Genomic DNA, 20,222 nt, shown 5'->3' with positions numbered 1-20,222 from the left:
GAGTCTACCAAAAAAAAAAATATGTGTCAGAACTAATAAAGGCAGCAAGGTTGCAGAATACAAAATCAACACACAGGCTGGGTGCAGTGGCTCAAGTCTGTAATCTCAGCACTTTGGGAGGCCAAGGCGGGTAGATCACCTGAGGTCAGGAGTTTAAGACCAGCCTGGCCAACAAGGTGAAACCCCGTCTCTACTAAAAATACAAAAAATTAGCCAGCCATGGTGGCGGACGCCTGTAATCCCAGCTATTTGGGAGGCTGAGGTAGCAGAATTGCTTGAACCCAGGAGGCAGTGGCTGCCGTGAGCCGAGATTGCCCATTGCACTCCAGCCTGGGCAACAAGAGCGAAACTCTGTCTCAAAACAAAAACAAAATCAACTCACAAAAATCAGTTGAAGCCAGGTTCAGTGGCACACGTCCATAATCCCTCAAACTCATGAGGCTGAGGCAGGAGGATTGCCTGAGACCAGGAGTTCATGTTCAGCCTGGACACAACAATGAGACACTGTCTCTAAAAAATAATTAAAAAAAACAACTTAAAAACTCAGTTGAATTTTTGTACACTAACAACGAACAATTCAAAGGAAATTAAGAAAATAGGCCAGGCATAGTGGCTTGCACCTGTAATCCCAGCACACTGGGAGGCCAAGGCAGGCAGATCACTTGAGGTCAGGAGTTGGAGACCGGCCTGGGTAACATGTTGAAACCCTGTCTCTACTAAAAATACAAAAATTAGCCAAGCATGGTGGCAGGCACCTGTAATCCTAGCTACTCAGGAGGCTGAGGCAGGAGAATCACTTGAACCCGGGAGGCAGAGGTTGCAGTGAGCTGAGATTGACCCATTGTACTCCAGCCTGGGTGACAGGGTGAGTCTCCATATCAAAAAAAAAAAAAAAAAAAAAAAGAGAGAGAAAAAGAAAGAAAATAATTCCATTTGCAATAGCATCAAAAAGAACAAACTAGGCTAGGCATGGTGGCTCATGCCTGATTTTGGGAGGCCAAGGCAGGAGAATTGATTGAGGTGAGGAGTTTGAGACCAGCCTGGGCAACATAGCGAGACCCTGTCTCCATGAAAATATTTAAAAAGTAGCCAAGTGGCAAATGTCTATAATCTTAGCTAGTCAGCTTCTCGGGAGACTGAGGTGAGAGGATCGCTTGAGCCCCAGAGTGAGCTATGGCCATGCCAGTGCACTCCAGCCTGGGCAAAGAAGTAAAACCCTATTGGCCGGGTGCAGTGGCTCACGCCTGTAGTCCCAGCACTTTGGGAGGCAGAGGTGGGCAGATCACGAGGTCAGGAGTTCGAGACCAGCCTGACCAACATGGTGAAACCCCATCTCTACTAAATACAAAAATTAGCCGGGCATGGTGGCACACGCCTATAATCCCAGCTACTCAGGAGCTGAGGCAGGAGAATTGCTTGAACCTGGGAGGCAGAAGTTGCAGTGAGCAAAGATTGCGCCATCGCACTCCAGCCTGGGCGACAGAGCAAGACTCCATCTCAAAAAAAAAAAAAAAAAAAAAAGAAGTAAGACCCTATTGCAAAAAGAAAAAAATACTTAGGAATAAACTTAACTAAGGAGACAAAAGACTTGTATACAGAAAACTATAAAACTGCTGAAATAAAGACACAAATAAAAATCCTGTGTTCATGGATTGAAAGACTTGATGTTATTAAGATGGCAATATTACCAAAAGTGATCAACAGATTCAATGCAATCCCTATCAAATTCCAATAACATTTTTTGCAGAAATAGAAAAACCCATCCAAAAATTCATGTGAACTCTCCAGAGATCCCCAAATACCCAAAACAATCTTGAAAATGAAGAACAATGTTGGAGATCCCACACTTGCTGATTTCAAAACTAACTATAAAGCTACAGTAATTAAAAATGTGTGGTACTGGCACAAAGAACACCTTATAGACTAATGAAATGGAATAGAGATCCCAGAAGTAAATCCTTCCATATATGGTCAAAAGACAGTTTTTTCAACCAGTGTTGCTGGGAAAATTGGCTATCCTCATACAAAAGAATGCAGTTGGACCCCCAGCTTACACTATATACAAAAATTAAGTAAAAATGCATAAAAACCTAAACGTAAGAGTGAAAACTGTAAAACTCTTGGAAGAAAATATAGAAGGGAAAGCTTCGGGATATTGATTTGGCAATGATTTCTTGGAAATGACAACAAAAATACAAGCAACAAAATAAAATAGATAAGTTGGACTTCATCATTAAAAATTTGTGTGCATCAAAGGACACTATTAACAGAGTGAAAAAGCAACCTATGGAATGGGAGAAAATATTGCAAGTTATATATCTGATAAGGGATTGGTATCTGGAATATATAAAGAACTTCTGCAGGAGCCAGGCATGGTGGCTTACAGCTGTAATCCCAGTTACTCAGGAGGCTGAGGCAGGAGGATAGCTTGAGCCCACGAATAACATACCCTCAGCAACATAGTGAGATCCCAGCTCTCAAAAAGTTAAAAAAAAAAAAAAAAAAGCTGGGTATGATGGTGCACACCTGTAGTCCCAGCTACTTGGGAGGCTGAGGTTGGAAGATCAGATAACTTCAGCCCAGGAGTTGGAGGCTGCAGTGAGCTATGATTGTGCCACTGCACTTCAGCCTGGACAACAGAGTGAGACCCCACCTCTAGAAATAAATAAATAAAGACAGAAAGAACTTCTACAATTAAACAACAACAACAAACACCTGATTCAAAAGTGGGCAAAGAATTTGGACATTTCTCCAAAGAGGAGCTATATAATGGCCAATAAACATGGGGAAGGATGTCCAACATCACTAAATAGGGAATAAAAATAAAAACTACAGTAAGATATTGCTTCACATTTATTAGGATGGATGTTTTTAAGTATAGGATGTTATTTTTTAAAAAACAGAAAATAACAATTCTTAGTAAGAATGTGGAGAAACTGGAAACTTTGTGTCTTGCTGGTAGAGATGTAAAAACTACAGCAACTCTGTAAACGGTATGGCCATTTCTCAAAAAATTAAACATAGCATTACTGTAATTCCACTTCTGGATATATATCCAAAAGAAACAAAAGCAGGCCTTGAACAGATATTTGTACATTCATGTTCATGGCAGCATAATTCACCATAGCTAAAAAGTAGAAGCAACCCAAGTGTCCACAGACAGATAAACGAATAAACAAAATGTGGTGTATAAATTGATGGACTATTATTCAGCCTGTAAAGGAAAGGAAAATCTGACACATGTTATAATATGGGTGAACCTTGAAGACATTATGCTAAGTTAATTATGCCAGACATAAAAGGGACAAATATTATATATTCGACTTATATGAAGTACCTGGAATAGTCAATTTTATAGAGACAGAAAGTACAATGGTGGTTGCCAGAGGCCATAGGGAGTGGGGAATGGGCAGTTATTCTTTAATAGGTACAGACTTTGTTTGAGAAGATGAAAAAGTTCTGGAGATGGATGGTGATGATGATTGCACAATATGAATGTAACGCCACTAAACTGTACACTTAAAAATAGGTAAAATGGGCTGAACATGGTGGCTCACACCTGTAATCCCAGCATTTTGGGAGGCCAAGGTGGGCAGATCACGAGGTCAGGAGTTTGAGACCAGCCTGGCCAACACGGTGAAACCCCGACTCTACTAAAAATACAAAAAGTTAGCCAGGGATGGTGGCACGTGCCTGTAGTCCCAGCTACTCAGGAGGCTGAGGCAGGAGAATCGCTTGAACCCAGGAGGCAGAGGTTGCAGTGAGCCGAGATCGCACCATTGCACCCCAGCCTGGGGAACAGAACAAGACTCCCTCTTGAGAAAAATAAATAAATGAATAAAAATAGCTAAAATGAGTTGGGTTCAGTAGCTCACGCCTGTAATCTCAGCATTTTGAGAGGCCGAGGTGGGTGGATCACCTGAGGTCAGGAGTTTGAGAACAGTCCTACCAACGTGGTGAAACCCTGTCTCTACCAAAATACAAAATTAGCCGGGCATGGTGGTGTGCACCTGTAGTCCCAGCTACTCAGGAGGCTGAGGCAGGAGAATTGCTTGAACCTGGGAGACGTAAGTTGCCGTGAGCCAAGATCTCGCCATTGCACTCCAGCCTGGGCAACAGAGAGAGACTCTGTCTAAAAAAAAAATTAATAAAAATAAAAAAAATTTAAAAAAAATCTAAAGTAAATTTTGTAACATATATTTTGTCACAATAAAAAAGCATTATAAAGGCTGGGGGCAGTGGCTCACGCCTGTAATCCCAGCACTTTGGGAGGCCGAGGTGGGCAGATCACCTGAGGTCGGGAGTTGGAGAACAGCCTGACTAACATGGAGAAACCCCATCTCCACTAAAAATACAAAATTAGCCGGGCATGGTAGCACACACCTGTAATCCCAGCTTCTCAGGAGGCTGAGGCAGGAGAATCGCTTGAACCTGGGAGGCAGAGGTTGCAGTGAGCCAAGATCGCACCATTACACTCCAGCCTGGGCAAGAATAGCAAAATTCCATCTCAAAAAAAAAAGCATTATAAAAATAGATAAATTGGACTTTATCAAAATTTAAAGGTTGGGAAATCACAGACATTATCCAAAAAGTGAAAAGTGCTGGATGCAGTGGCTCATGCCGAGGTGGGAGGAAAACCTGAGCCCAAGGGTTCAAGACCAGCCTGGCCTATCTCTACAAAAAATTTAAAAATTGGCAGGGCGCGGTGGCTCACGCCTGTAATCCCAGCACTTTGGGAGGCTGAGGCAGGCAGATCACGAGGTCATGAGATCGAGACCATCCTGGCTAACAAGTGAAACCCCGTCTCCACTAAAAATACAAAAAATTAGCTGGGCATGGTGGTGGGCACCTGTAGTCCCAGCTACTCAGGAGGCTGAGGCAGGAGAATGGTGTGAACCCGAGAGGCGGAGCTTGCAGTGAGCCGAGATTTTGCCACTACACTCCAGCCTGGGTGACAGAGCAAGACTCTGTCTCAAAAAAAAAAAAAAAAAAAAAATTAAAAATTAGCCACATGTGGTGGCACGTGCCTGTACTCTCAGCTATTTTGGGGCTGAGGTGGGAAAGTCACTTGAACCCAGGAGTTTGAGACAGCAGTGAGCTGTAATCTTACCACTGCACTCCACTCTGGGTGACAGAGCAAGATCCTGTTTCAAAAAAATTAAAATTTAAATTAAATTTTAAAAATGTAAAACAAAAAACGTGTACAGGATTTTATTTTGGGGTGATGAAAATGTTTTGAAACTAGATAGAGGCTGGAGCAGTGGCTCATGACTGTAATCCCAGCACTTTGGGAGGCCGAGACAGTTGGATCACCTGAGGTCAGGAGTTCGAGACCAGCCTGACCAGTATGGTGAAACCCCATCTCTACTAAAAATACAAAAAAGCCAGGCATGGTGGCGTGGGCCTATTCTCCCAGCTACTCGGGAAGCTGAGACAGGATAATTATTTGAACCCGGGAGGCGGAGGTTGCAGTGAGCCGAGATCACGCCACTGCACTCCAGCCTGGGGGACAGAGCAAGACTCCTCAAAAAAAAAAAAAAAAAAGCCAGGCACAGTGGCTCTCGCCTGTAATCCCAGCACTTAGGGAGGCAAAGGCAGGCAGATCACGAGGTCAGGAGTTCAAGATCAGCCTGGTCAATATGGCGAAACCCTGTCTCTACTAAAGGTACAAAAAAATTAGCCAGGCCCGGTGGTGCATGCCTGTAATATCATCTACTTTTTTTTGGGAGGCTGAGGCAGGAGAATCGCTTGAACCTAGAAGGTGGAGGTTGCAGTGAGCCGAGATTGCGCCATTGCATTCCAGCCTGGACGACAGGGTGAGACTCCGTCTCAAAAAAGAAATAAACTAGATAAGGTGGTGGTTGCATAACACTGTGAATGTACTGAATGCCACCTAATTCCTCATTTAAAATGACTTTATGTTATATGAATTTTACCATAGTTTTAAAGAAAAGGAAACTGAAGCTCAGAGTGATTGAGCTACCTGAGATCTTACAGCCAGTAACTGGTGGAACCATAAACTGAACCCAGATCTGTGAATTCAAATAAAGCATATGTTACACAGTGAGAAAGTAGGTGCATTTACTTTACTTACTTCAGAGGTAAATGACTGTTATGCTGGTGCTTTCTCTCTCCTTCCCTCCCTCCCTCCCTCCCTCCCTCCCTCCCTTCCTTCCTTCCTTTCTCTCTCTCTCTCACTCGTTCTTTCTTTCTTTCTTTCCTTCTTTCTTCCAGAGACAGGGTCTTCATTACCCCGGCCGGAGTATAGTGGCATGATCATAGCTCACTGCAGGCTTGACCTCTTGGGTTCAATTGATCCTCTCTCTTCAACCTCCTGAGTACCTGGAACTACGGGTGTGCAGCACCACATCTGGCTAATTTTTTTTTTTTTTTGTAGAGACGAGGTCTCACTATGCTGGTGCTGGTGTTTTTCTGAGAGCAGGTGTTTGTAAGGGAGGAGGGACGATGCCTTCTGCATAGCAGGCACACAATTTCTGTTTCTCTGAGGAAGGAAAGGGCAATGATTCCCACTGATAAGGCTCTGAGGTCTGGAGAGAACTTAGGATGTTTAGGAGGGGCCATAACTCCCTCAAAGCAATGAAAGGATCTTCCTTAGGGATGGGAGGGAGGGACTAGCTTTTTTCACATGCTTTGTGACATTGGTCAAACTACTTAACCTCCCTGAGCTAGGTTCTTCATCTGTAAAACAGGAATAACATGCTTACAGTGGCGAGAAATTGGGAAATGGCCTATAAACACTTTTTAAAGTGCTAAATGGGCCAAGTATGGTGGCTCATGCCTATAATCCCAGCACTCTCGGAGGCTGAGGCAGGAGGATCCCTTGAGCCCAGAAGTTCAAGACCAGCCTAGGCAACATAGTGAGACCCCATCTCTACCAAAAATAAAAATAATAGCTGGGTGTGATGGTGCACATCTGTAGTCCCAGCTACTTGGGGGAGCTGAGATGGGAGGATTGCTTGAGCCCAGGAGTTTGAGGCTGAAGTGAGGTTTGATTATGCCACCGTACTCTGGGCAACATAGCAAGACCCTGTCTCGAAAAAAAAAAAGCAATTACATAAGGTAAGCTGGGTTCCCCAGACTGAGCTGCACTTTTGCAGTTATCTAGATTGTAGCATCCCATTCTTACTGGAATTGTGTCTGATTGCTCCAGATGGGACCAGGTCAGTCTACTGCAGTAGCCCTAAAATCTGGACAAGGATTGGCTTCTGTGAGCATGTATTGAAAAGGTTATTAGGGTTGCTACTGCCCACACATTCACCATCTGGTGATTCAGTTTCACCCAACAGACCCAGGGGATTTGTTATACAGAGATGAAAACCTCACAGTCCCTAAGGCCCCTGGGAGAAACAGGTGCAGAAACATAATTTCATTTTTTTGAGATGGAGTCTCACTCCATTGCCCAGGCTGGAGTGCAGTGGCACAATCTCGGCTCACTGCAACCTCCACCTCCTGGGTTCAAGCGATCCTCCTGCCTCAGCCTCCTGAGTAGCTGGGATTACAGCCACTTACCACCATGACTGGCTAATTTTTGTATTTTTAGTAGAGTCAGAGTTTCACCGTGTTGGCCAGGCTGGTCTTGAACTCCTGAGCTCAAATGATCCACCTGCCTCAGCCTCCCAAACTGCTGGGATTACAGGCATGAGCCACTGCGCCCGGCCAACAAACATAATTATAATACAGCCTTAACTCCTGTGAGAAGGGGGGTTCAGAAAAGGAAATATTTGGCTCAGACACTTAAGAGTCAAATCCTTCCTTTGGCCACTCCTCACCCATTTCCAGGCCTTATCCTAATCCCATAGCAGTCACCCAATGGGTTGGATGCACAGTAATGTGTGACTGGTCCAGTTCAAGCCAGAGGGTCATCTTTCCCTCCCAGCTAGTAAATCTACTCCCTCTAATGCCCAGCCCAAACATGACCTGTTTTGTGATGGCTCCAAGAACCTGAAGGCCAGCCCTTTTTCTGTGCTTTCTTTGCACTTCACCCCACAAATACTTTTTGGGTAAATTTCATTTTGGTCCTGGAGATGGATTTATACCACTTGGCTTCTGTCCTAAGCCTAAATGTCCATTGGAGGAGTTAGAACAGCAGCAGGCAGTGGTAGTTACACCACTGCAAGAGGGGAGCACAAGGTAAATACTCCCTGAAGGAGCTATAGGAGACACCTTTGGGGTCTTTTTAGCCCATCTTCCCCTCTGTAAAACTGCTTACCCACTCAGGATTGAGGCTTGGAGACCCTGTGTGTCTTGTGAGTCTTAGTTCCCTACCAGTAGCTGAGTGGCCCAGGGAGATTACCTCATTACAGGTGGGCCAATTCTATTCTATATCCCAGGATTTTGAGTCAAGTTTCAAAGATGCAGGGAGCTATGAAGCAACCAGGCAGAAAGCATTGGGCTGAGAGTCCCAGAGGAGGGAGGAGGAAAGGACTAGGGTTGTTGGCTGTGGAGTCTAAAGAACACCCCCATACAATCAGTTCTTTACAATCCTTACAATCGGCTCCTTGTTTTGCTTATAGGAGCTTCAAGCGTTCTGGATACTATTACAATGGTCCTTATTGAGGCAAGAGTAGCCAGGCAGGCTCCCAACCTATGCTGAGGTAAAGGACAGAAGGGAACAGACAGGACAGGCCAGGGCCAGAAGTTGGGGCTGGGTGAAAGATACAGGAGAGGATTCTGAGCAAGGGGAACAGCATAGGCAAAGGCCAAGAGATGGGAACTCCAGGATAAGGTGCAAAGAGGCAAGGCTGGAGATGGGGCCAGGGCCACATGGGAACTTGTAAGCCACATGAAAGTCTAAGACAAATTGCAATTTAAATGGACCATAAGGGCACTAAGAGTAGAAGCCTGGGGATGGGGAAACTCTACAATGGCCCCTTTGGGGAGATGGTGGTGGCCTAAATTGAAAGTGGGAGGACTGGGTCAGGTGTGGTGGCTCACACCTGTAATCCTAGCACTTTGGGAAGCCAAGGGGGACAGATCGCTTGAGCCCAGGAGTTCGAGACCAGCTTGGGCAACGTGGCAAAATTCTGTCTCTACAAGGAAGACCAAAATTAGCCAGGCGTGGTGGCACATGCCTGCAGTCCCAGCTACTTGGGAGGCTGAGGTAGAAGGATTGCTTGAGGCTGAGAGGTGGAGGCTGCAGGAGCCAAGATCACACCACTACACTCCAGCCTGGATGAGAGAGATCTTGTCTCCAAATAAATAAATTAAATTAAATCAAATAATTTAATTTTTTTTTTGAGACGAAGTCTCATTCTTGTCGCCCAGGCTGGAGTGCAATGGCGCGATCTTGGCTCACTGCAAACTCTGCCTCCAGGTTCAAGCGATTCTCCTGCCTCAGCCTCCTGAGTAGCTGGGATTACAGACGCCTGCTGCCATGCCCAGCTAATTTTTTTTTAAATTTTATGTATTTATTTATTGAGACTGAGTCTTGCTCTGTCGCCCAGGCTGGAGTGCGGTGGCGCAATCTCGGCTCACTGCAAGCTCCGCCTCCCGGGTTCACACCATTCTCCTGCCTCAGCCTCCCAAGTAGCTGGGACTACAGGCGCCTGCCACCACGCCTGACTAATTTTTTGTGTTTTTAGTAGAGACGGGGTTTCACTGTGTTAGCCAGGATGGTCTCCATCTCCTGACCTCGTGATCCGCCCGCCTTGGCCTCCCAAAATGCTGGGATTACAGGCGCGTACCTCCGCGCCTGGCCATTTTTTTAATTTTTAGTAGAGATGGGGTTTCACCATGTTAGCCAGGCTGATCTCGAACTCCTGACCTCAGGTGATCCACCTGCCTCAGCCTCCCAAGGTGCTGGGATTACAGGCGTGAGCCACTGCGCCTGGCCCTAAATCAAGTAATTTTAAAAAGGGGCTGGGCATGGTGGCTCACACCAGTAATCCCAGCAATTTGGGAGGCCGAGGCGGGTGGATTACCTGAGGTCAGGAGTTCAAGACCAGCCTGGCCAACATGGTGAAACTCCATCTCTACTAAAAATACAAAAATTAGCAGGGCGTGATGGTGCATGCCTGTAATCCCAGCTACTCGGGAGGCTGAGGCAGGAGAATCACTTGAACCTGGGAGGCACACGCCTGTAGTCCCAGCTACTCAGGAGGCTGAGGCAGGAGAATTGCTTGAACCCCGGAGGCAGAGGTTGCAGTGAGCCGAGATCACACCACTGTGCTCCAGCCTGGGTGACAGAGCAAAACTCCATCTCCAAAACAAAACAACAACAACAATAATAATGATGATGATGATGATGATGATGGAAACAAGCAAGAAAAACTAAAAAAAAAAAAAAAAAGAAAACTGAATGTGGCTAGATGGAGGAGCAAGGGAGAGATCAGGGGAATGGAAGAGAAAACCTCTTGGAGTCTGTGGAGAATCAGGTCTTTCGCTCCAGCAGCCCCAGCCCCAGGCCCCTAAGGAGAGGATTGGCATACTTTCTTTCTTTCTTTTTTTTTTTTTTGAGACGGAGTCTTGCTCTGTTGCCCAGAGTTCAGTGGCGCAATCTCGGCTCACTGCAAGCTCCGCCTCCTGGGTTCACACCATTGTCCTGACTCAGCCTCCCGAGTAGCTGGGACTACAGGTGCCTGCCACCACGCCCAGCTAATTTTTTGTATTTTTAATAGAGACAGGGTTTCACCATGTTAGCCAGGATGGTCTCGATCTCCTGACCTTGTGATCCGCCCACCTCGGCCTCCCAAAGTGCTGGGATTACAGGCGTAAACCACTGTGCCCGGCCGGATTGGGATACTTTCTTTCTTTCTTTCTTTCTTTCTTTCTTTCTTTCTTTCTTTCTTTCTTTCTTTTTTTTTTTTTTTTTTTTGAGACGGAGTCTTGCTCTGTCACCCAGGCAGCAGTGCAGTGATTCAATTTCACCTCACTGCAACCTCTGCCTCCTGGGTTCAAGCGATTCTCCTGCCTCAACCTCCCGAGTAGCTGGAATTACAGATGTGCGCCACCACGCCTGGCTAATTTTTGTATTTTTAGTAGCGAAGGGTTTCACCATGTTGGCCAGGCTGGTCTCAAACTCCTGACCTCAGGTGATCCACCCGCCTCAGCCTCCCAAAGTGCTGGGATTGCAGGTGTGAGCCACCGCACCCAGCCAATGCTTTCTCATTCTTCCCCAGGGCAAGTGTCCAAACAGACCTGGTGGAACCACCAAGCTACTCCAGCCCCCCTGGGAAGAAGAGGCAGTCCTCCAAGGTGGCCTTTCCATTAGGCTGCTGAGGTTGTGGGGTCGGGGAGTGTCCTTGGGGTGCTGGTGGAATGTTCACTTCTGTGCCTCCTTTTTGATAGAGGAGAGCAGAAACTCTGCCTGGACTGTTCTTGTAGCTGAGTAGCCTTGAATGTGTAATTTAACTTCTCTGGGCCTCATCTTACTCATCTGTTTAAAATAGAGCATAATGCCTACCCTACCTTGTTAGACTGTCGAGAGAATACTTTGAAGGCTGAACATAGGACCTGGCACAAAGTAGGTGCTTACTTCCTCTCAGAAGTCTGGGCTGAGTGCAGAATTCTGGCCCCAACAGGGATTAGTAACTGTCACCAGAGGCCTGGCTTGTAGCATCACCAGTTAAGCCATGTGCCTGAGCTAGTGACAAAGCCTCTGATGCTTCAGCATACTGAGATAAAGGGCAAGAGGGACCTGTTCCTACCATCTCCCTCCCATGAATAGCAGCTGAGAGGGAACCATGGGACAGAGATGGCAATAAAAGAAAAAGCCAACTCATATTGAACACTCATCTGGGCTAGGCTAAGCCCTTCACATCCCTTAGCTCATGTAATCCTTGCAAACCCCATGGGATGGGCACTATTCTCTGCATGCGTGAGTATTTATTTATAAATATACAGATGACCCTTGAACAACACAACACAGATTTGAACTGTGAGGGTTAGTTGGACACGGTGGCTCATGCCTGTAATCCCAGTACTTTGGGAGGCCGAAGTGGGAAGATGGCTTGAGGCTGGGAGTTTGAGACCAGCCTGGACAACACAGTTGAGACCCCGTCTCTACCAAAAAAAAGAAATTTTTTTTTTTGAGACAGGGTCTGGCTCTGTCACCCAGGCTAGAGGGCAATGGTGCAATCTCGGCTCACTGCAACCTCCACCTCCCAGGCTCAAGCAATCCTCCTTCCTCAGTACCCCAAGTAGCTGGGACTAGAGGTGTGTGCCATCACACCAGCTAATGTTGCTATGTTCCCCAGGCTGGTCTCGAATGCTGGGCTCAAGCCATACACTCATCTTGGCCTCCCAAAGTGTTGGGATTACAGGCATGAGCCACCACTCCTGGCCTCTACAAAATTAAAAAATAATAATAATTGTGCCAGGTGTGGTGGCTCACGCCTGTAATCCCAGCACTTTGGGAGGCCAAGGCGGGTGGATCACCTGAGGTCAGGAGTTCAAGACCAGCCTGGCCAAGATGGTGAAACCCCATCTCTACTAAAAATACAAAAATGAACCGGGCATGGTGGCGCATGCCTGTAGTCCCATCTACTCTGGAGGCTGAGTCAGGAGAATCGCTTGAACATGGGAGGCAGAGGTTGCCGTGAGCGGAGATCTCACCATTGCACTCCAGCCTGGGCGACAAAAGCGAAATTCTGTCTCAATTAAAAAAAAAAAAAAAAAAAAGAATTGTGCAGGTCCACTTATACAAAAATGTTTTTCAATAAATACATTGGAAAAATTTTTGGTGCAACAATTTAAAAAACTTGCAGATAAACCTTACAGGTTAGAAATATTTTTAAAATTTAAGAAAAAGTTATATCATGAATGCATAAAATACATGTAGATATGAGTTTATTTTTTCATTTACCACCATAACATATTCACAAATCTGTTATAAAAAGTTAAAATTTTTAGGCCGGGTGCAGTGGCCTGTAATCCCAGCACTTTGGGAGGCCGAGGTGGGTGGATCATGAGGTCAGGAGATTGAGACCATCCTGGCTAACATGGTGAAACCCCGTCTCTACTAAAAATACAAAAAATTAGCCAGGCGTGGTGGCAGGCGCCTGTAGTCCTAGCTACTCGGGAGGCTGAGGCAGGAGAATGGCGTGAACCCGGGAGGCGGAGCTTGCAGTGAGCCCAGATTGTGCCACTGCACTCCAGCCTGGACCACAGAGCTAGACTCTGTCTCAAAAAAAAAAAAAAAAAAGAGTTAAAATTTTTAGCAGGGCGTGGTAGTGCACACCTGTAATCCAAGCTGCTCGGGAGGCCAAGGCAGGAGAATCACTGGAACCCAGGAGGTAGAGCTTGCAATGAGCCAAGCAAGACTCTATCTCAAAAAAATAAAAAATAAATAAAATAAAATAAGAAGTTAAAATTTATGAAAACTTACAAGGCCAGGCGTGGTGACTCAAGCCTGTAATCCCAGCACTTTGGCAGGCCAAGGTGGGTGGATCACCTAAGGTCAGGAGTTCGAGACCAACCTGGCCAACATGGTGAAACCCAGTCTCTACTAAAAATACAAAAATTAGCCAGGCGTGGTGGTACACGTCTGTAATTCCAGCTACTTGGGAGGCTGAGGCACGAGAATCACTTGAACCTTGGAGGCGGAGATTGCAGTGAGCCGAGATTGCGCCACTGCACTCCAGCCTGGGCAATAGATCGAGACTCCATCTCAAAAAAACAAAACAAAACAAAACAAAACCTTATATGTACAAACACTTAAAGACTGTATATAGCACCATTTACAGCCAAGAGAAATGTGAACGAATGTAAAGATGCAGTGTTAAATCATAATTGGCTGGGTGCAGTGGCTCATGCCTGTAATGAACGCATTTTGGGAGGCTAAGGCAGGAGGATCACTTGAGCCTAGGAATTTGAGACCAGCCTGGGCAATGTAGGCAGAGCCCATCTCTACACACACACACACAGGCTGGGCGTGGTAGTGTGTGCCTATAGTCCCAGCTACTAGGGAGGCTGAGGCAAGAGGATTGAGCATGTCCAAAAGATTGAGGCTGCAGTGAACCATAGTTGCACTACCATACTCCGGCCTGGATGATAGAGAGAGAAGATCCAGTCTTAAATAATTAAATAATAAATAAATAAATAAATAAATAAATCATAACTGCATAAAATTAACTGTAGTATGTACTGTACTACTGCAATAATTTCCTAGCCACTTCCTGTTGCTGTTGTGAGCTGAAGCTTAAAACATCATGTGCTGCTAATTATCACATGAGCGATTTGTCTCTCCAGTAAATTGTGTATAGCACTAAAAGTGACCTCCCTCAATTCTCTTGTATTTTTCATCTTGTTAAGTGCAATACCGTAAACTTCGAATAACACCATGGGACCCATATGAAGTACCACTACTGATGCTGGAAACGCTCCCAAGAAGCAGAGAAAAGTCATGACATTACAAGAAAAAGTTGAATTCCTTAATTGAGGTTTGCGGCTGTGGTTACCCCTCATTTCAGTCGGACATCATTGTAAACAGATAATGTAAACTTATGATATTGATCAATAGAGTACTGTAAATATATATTCTCTTATGAATTTCTTTCTTTCCTTCCTTCCTTCCTTTCTTCCTTCCTTCCTTTAATTTTTTTACAGCCATGGTTTCACTATGTTGCCATACAGCCTCAAACTCCTGAGCTCAGATCCTCCTGCCTCAGCCTCCTGAGTATCTGGGACTATAGGAGGGTCACCATGCCTGGCTTGATTTTCTTAACTTTTTCTTTCTCTTTCCTTTTTGTAGAGACGGGGTCTTGCTGTGTTGCCCAGGCTGGTCTCAAACTTCTGGCCTCAAGGGATCCTCCCGCCTCAGCCTCCCAGAGCTGCCATTTCCTTTTCCTTCTTTTTTATTTATTTATTTTTTCTTTCTGGCTCTGTCACCCAAGCTGTAGTGCAGTGGCACCATCTCCGCTCACTGCAACCTCCACCTCCAGGGTTCAAGCCATTCTCCTGCCTCAGCCTACTGAGTAGCTGGGATTACAGGTGCCTGCCACCATGCCCACCTAATTTTTGTGTTTTTAGTAGAGACAGAGTTTTGCCATGTTTGCCAGTCTGGTGTCAAACTCCCAACCTCAGGTGATCCACCCACCTCAGCCTCCCAAAGTGCAGGGATTACAGGCCTGAGCCACCGCACCTGGCCCCAGCCACCATTTTATTTTCCTTAGTTACTTTATTCTAACAATACAGTATATAGGCCGGGCTTGGTGGCTCATGCCCGTAATCCCAGCACTTTGAGAGGCTGAGGTGGGCGGATCACCAGAGATCAGGAGTTCGAGACTAGCCTGGCCAACATGGCAAAACCCCGTCTCTACTAAAAATACAAAAATTAGCGGTATGTGGTGGCATATGCCTGTAATCCCAGCTACTGGGGAGGCTGAGGCAGGAGAATTGCTTGAACCTGGGAGGCAGAGGTTGCGGTGAGCCGAGATTGTGCCACTGCACTCCAGACTGGGCAATAAGAGCGAAATTCCATCTCAAAAAAAAAAAAAAGAAAAACCAGAATATAATACATACAACATACAAAATATGTGTTAATTGACTATTTATGCTAGCAGTAAGGCTTCTGGTCAAAAGTAAGCTATCAGTAGCTAAGTTTTGGGGGAATCTAAAGTTATACACGGGGCCAGGTGCAGTGGCTCATGCCTGTAATCCCAGCACTTTGGGAGGCCGAGGCAGGCGGATCACCTGAGGTCGGGAGTTGGAGACCATCCTGGCCAACATGGTGAAACTCAATCTCTTCTAAAACTACAAAAATTAGCCAGGCATGGTGGTGGGCACCAGTAATCCCAGCTACTTGAGAGGCTGAGGCAGGATAATCGCTTGAGCCTGGGAGGCGGAGGTTACAGTGAGCTGAGATTGTGCCACTGCACCCTAGCCTTTGGTGACACAGTAAGACTGTCTCAAAAAAAAAAAAGTTATACATGGATTTTCTACTGTGGTGGGGGGTCAGCACCCCTAACCCCCACACAAGAGTCAGCTGTACTACTTTTTTTTAGAGCAATCTTAAGTTAATAGCAAAATTGGGCAGAAAGTACAGAGTTCCCATATGCCCCTGCTCTCACACATGCACGTCCTCCTCCATTATCAACATCCTACAACAGAGTGGTACATTTGTTACAATCAATGAACCCACACTGATATATCATTATCGACCATAATCCATAGTCTACATTAGGGTTCACTCTTGGTGTTGTATATCTATAGGTTTTGACAAATATATAGTGACATGTATAGCTTTACTGTTCTTTTCTTTCTTTTTTTTTTTTTTGGAGACAGAGTCTCGCTCTATCCCCCAGGCTGGAGTGCAGTGGTGCGATCTTAGCTCATTGCAAAGTCCACTTTCTGGGTTCAAGCGATTCTCATGCCTCAGCCTCCCAAGTAGCTGGGATTACAGGAGCCTGCCACCACATCTGGCTAATTTTTGTATTTTTGGTAGAGATGGTGTTTCACCATGTTGGCCAGGATGGTCTCAAGCTCCTGACCTCCGGTGATCTGCCTGCTTTGGCTTCCCAAAGTGCTGGGATTACAGGCACGAGCCACTGCACCTGGCCTATGCTTTACTTTTCAGTGTAATTTTATTTTTATTAAAGTGGTACATGCTCAGCCAGGTGCAGTGGCTCATGCCTGTAATCCCAGCACTTTGGGAGGCTGAGGCAGGCGGATTGCTTGAGCCCAGGAGTTCGAGACCAGCCTGTGCAACATGGCGAAACTTTGTCTCCACAAAAAATACAAAAATTAGCTGGGCATGGTGGCATGCATTTGTATTCCCAGCTACTTGGGTGGCTGAGGTGGGAGGTCACTTGAGCATGGAGATTAAGGCTACAGTAAACTGCGATTGTGCCATGCACTCCACCTTGGGTGACAGTGTGAGACTCTGTTTCAAAAAAGAAAAAAAAAGCCATGTATACTCAGTGGCTTAAAAGGCAAAGAATATGTCGGACGCGGTGGCTCACGCCTATAATCCCAGCACTTTTGAAGGCCAAGGTGGGCGGATCACCTGAGGTTGGGAGTTTGAGACCAGCCTGACCAACATGGAGAAATCTCATCTCTACTAAAAATACAAAATTAGCCGGGTATGATGGTGGCATTAGGCTGTAATCCCAGCTACTCAGGAGGCTAAGGCAGGAGAATCGCTTGAACTCAGGAGGAGGAGGTTGCGGTGAGCCGAGATCGCGTCATTGCACTCCAGACTGGGCAACAAGAACGAAACTCCGTCTCAAAAAAAAAAAAAAGGTCAAAGAATACAAAAAAGGCTTATATGGAAAACCCAGCATCTCTCTTCCCTACCTACCCTACCCACTTCCTAACCTCAGCCCAGGCAGAGTGGCATCTTCTTATGTAATCATCAGCCTTGGGATGGCCACACCCTTGCCACTGAGGTAATGAACCTTCTTCTCTGTATCAGGAACATCAAAGGGGACTGGAGCCAAGTGGTCAGACTGGCTGAACACACCTTCTACTTCAAGGATCAATCAGGCATCTCAGATAAGATAGCCTAAAGGTATTTTTAAATCCCTGCTTGCTGCTTTAGAAGCCCCAGTAGGCTGGGTAGGGTGGCTCACACCTGTAATCAGAGCAATACAGTGGGACCCTGTCTCTACAAAAAATAAACAATATATAAAAAAAACTAGCTGGGCATGGTGGCGTGTGCCTGTAGTCCTAGATACTAGGGAGGCTAAGGTTGGAGATTTGCCTGAGCCTGGTAGGTTGAGACTGCAGCGAGCTATGATCGTGCCACTGCACTCTAGCCCGGGTGACAGAGTAAAAAAAAAAAAAAAAAAAAAAAGACAGAGAGAGAGAAGAAGCCCCTATAGTAATTTTAGGAGTTTTGCTGAGAGATGAAAGCTAAAGTTCAATACAAAAAAACTGCTGTGATGTGAAGCTGCCTGGGAGATTAAGATTCTTGCTGGCTGCGTGTCTGGAGCAAACCTCTCTCCTTTGGACACTGAGGTCTTCACGTGAAAAACAAGGGGACTGGGTGGATGATCATTAGAGCTTTGTCCAAGCTGACAGAGGGAGCTGGGGCTGTGGTTGCTGCTGCTAGCAGCTTCATCTCTGGAGCCCTTTCTGTAAGCCAGTGCTTCCCGTTGCCCTCCTTGCAACCACCCTCAAAGCAGGTATTACTACCTCCATTTTTTTTTTTTTGAGACAGAGCCTTGCTCTGTTGCCCAGGCTGGAGTGCAGTGACGTGATCTTGGCTCACTGCAACCTCCGCCTCCCAGGTTCAAGCAATTCTCCTGCCTCAGCATCCCAAGTAGCTGGGATTACAGGCACACGCCACCCACACCCAACTAATTTTTGTATTTTTAGTAGAGACAGGCTTTCACCATGTTGGAAAGGCTGGTTTTGAGCTCCTGACCTTAAGTGATCCACCCCCTTGGCCTCCCAAAGTGCTGGGATTACAGGCATGAGCCATCGTGCCCGGCCTACTATGTCCATTTTACAGAGGAGGAATTGAGGCTCAAAGGTTGCCAGGGCCACACAACTAGAGAGTTCAGGGTCGTGATTCTAACCTAGAGTGCATGCTTCTTCCCCTCCCTGGAGCTGGGTTCCTGAGCCTTCTGTTTTGCTTTCCCCACAATAGGTGCTGGGTGTGTGTGTGGGATGTGTATGGAGGATGTGCAGGGGTGGGTAAGAAGGAGCCCTGTGGCCTCCAGGAGCAGAAAGGTCCAGCTTACCACACCCCACATTTTAGGCCTCTAGGCCCCACCTCAGGGTAAAGGTCATCATGCCCACATCCTGTTTTTTTTTTTTTTTTTTTTGAGACAAAGTCTTGTTCTTGTCCCCCAGTCTGGAGTGCAATGGCGCAATCTCGGCTCACTGCAACCTCTGCCTCCCAGGTTCAAATGATTCTCCCGCCTCAGCCTCCTGAGTACCTGGGATTACAGGTGCCTGCCACCACGCCTGGTTAATTTTTGTATTTTTAGTGGAGACTAAAAATACAGGCACCTGCCACCACACCCAGCTAATTTTTGTATTTTTAGTAGAGACAGGGTTTCACCATGTTGGCTGGGCTGGTCTTGAACTCCTGACCTCAGGTGATCTGCCCGCCTCAGCCTCCCAAAGTACTGGGATTACAGGAGTGAGCCACCACACCCGGCCCGCCCACATCCTGTTTAATGCCAGTCTTTCCTCCTAGACCAGAGGTTCTCTGCCTTAGTGGAGTATTCGTTATCTGGGGAGCTTTGGAAAACATTGTTGCCTGTGCCCTAGAGATTCTGACTTAATTGAACTGGGGTAGGGTCTTGACACTAGAGGTTCATAAAGGCTCTGCAGGTGATCTGAATTGCAGCCAGGGTTGAGAACCTTGTACTAGCCTGTCAGCTTGTCTTGTTCGTTCACCATGCCTGGCCCTAGGGAATGTCCGCTTTTCTTTGCCATGCCTTGCTAGCCACAAGGCAGAGAGCAGCCTTTGCTCTCAGCTATAATGCAGCTCCCTTTCCCTGCAACAAGGCTCACGGCACCATAACTCTGCTCTCCTGACTTGCTCTTAGAATGAGCCAAGGCCCTGATGCTTCTCATAAATTATTTGAAACAAAAGCTCATAGAATTCAGACATGCCTGCCTTGTGGGGTGGGAAGCCCATCTTGCCCGTCTTCCCTCTGATCTGTATCTTAGGAGAAAAGAAATTGGAGAGGGCAGGTTTTATACTGCATCCTGGCTGTCCTGAGCATCTTCTGGCAGGTGAGGTTGGCAGCCCCATGAAATCAAATATGCCCTGCATCCAAAAAAGGACCAGGACAATTCCAGAGACTACAGGGATCTCGGAAGAGAGTTAGGCAAAGATGAATGTTACCTGGAGAAAGCCTCCTGTCTCCTGCCTATTGGATTCAGGTACAGAGAGGTGACTGTTGTACTCCTGACTTAGAACCCATGTGGGCTTTGAGCCCCTAAGGCCTAGATGCTGATTTCAGAGCCTGCAAGAGAGGAACAAAGGTAGGAGCAGAGGGCCAGGTGAGAGGTGGGCTGGGGACACGCTGGTGGCTGGAAATAAGCTGAACTGGAACCAGGAATGAGTAGTTGCAGCGGAAATATTCAGAGCAGAACTCTTGAGGTGGCCACTACATGTGGCATTCTTTGTCCTGTTCCCATCTTTCATAATCTGGACTTTGCAGTCACAGATTCACAGCACCTGAAAGGGTCTGGAAGCCATGTGGTACATGGTTTTTTTTTTTTGAGACGGAGTCTCACACTGTCGCCCAGGCTGGAGTACAGTGGCTCGACCTCTGCTCACTGAAACCTCCGCCTCCCAGGTT

The 20,222-nt window shown here is 46.4% G+C and overlaps 1 long non-coding RNA gene across 1 annotated transcript in view, besides 1 other annotated feature; it reads right to left on the bottom strand.

Moving 5' to 3' along the window:
* The window catches only part of LOC105377085 (uncharacterized), a 29,600-nt gene that overhangs the window by 8,101 nt on the left and 1,277 nt on the right, over positions 1–20,222 (bottom strand). The window lies entirely within an intron of this gene.
* Positions 8,382–8,676: a silencer, noted in NCBI's record as "tiled region #10823; K562 Repressive non-DNase unmatched - State 24:Quies". NCBI's record gives its function as "represses a minimal TATA promoter and a strong SV40 promoter by Sharpr-MPRA in K562 cells {active_cell/tissue: K562}" and the evidence as "EXISTENCE:reporter gene assay evidence [ECO:0000049][PMID:27701403]".

The sequence above is a fragment of the Homo sapiens genome, chromosome 3 (assembly GCF_000001405.40).
Source record: "Homo sapiens chromosome 3, GRCh38.p14 Primary Assembly".
NCBI lineage: Eukaryota > Metazoa > Chordata > Mammalia > Primates > Hominidae > Homo > Homo sapiens.
This window is presented reverse-complemented; position numbering and strand designations above follow the sequence as displayed.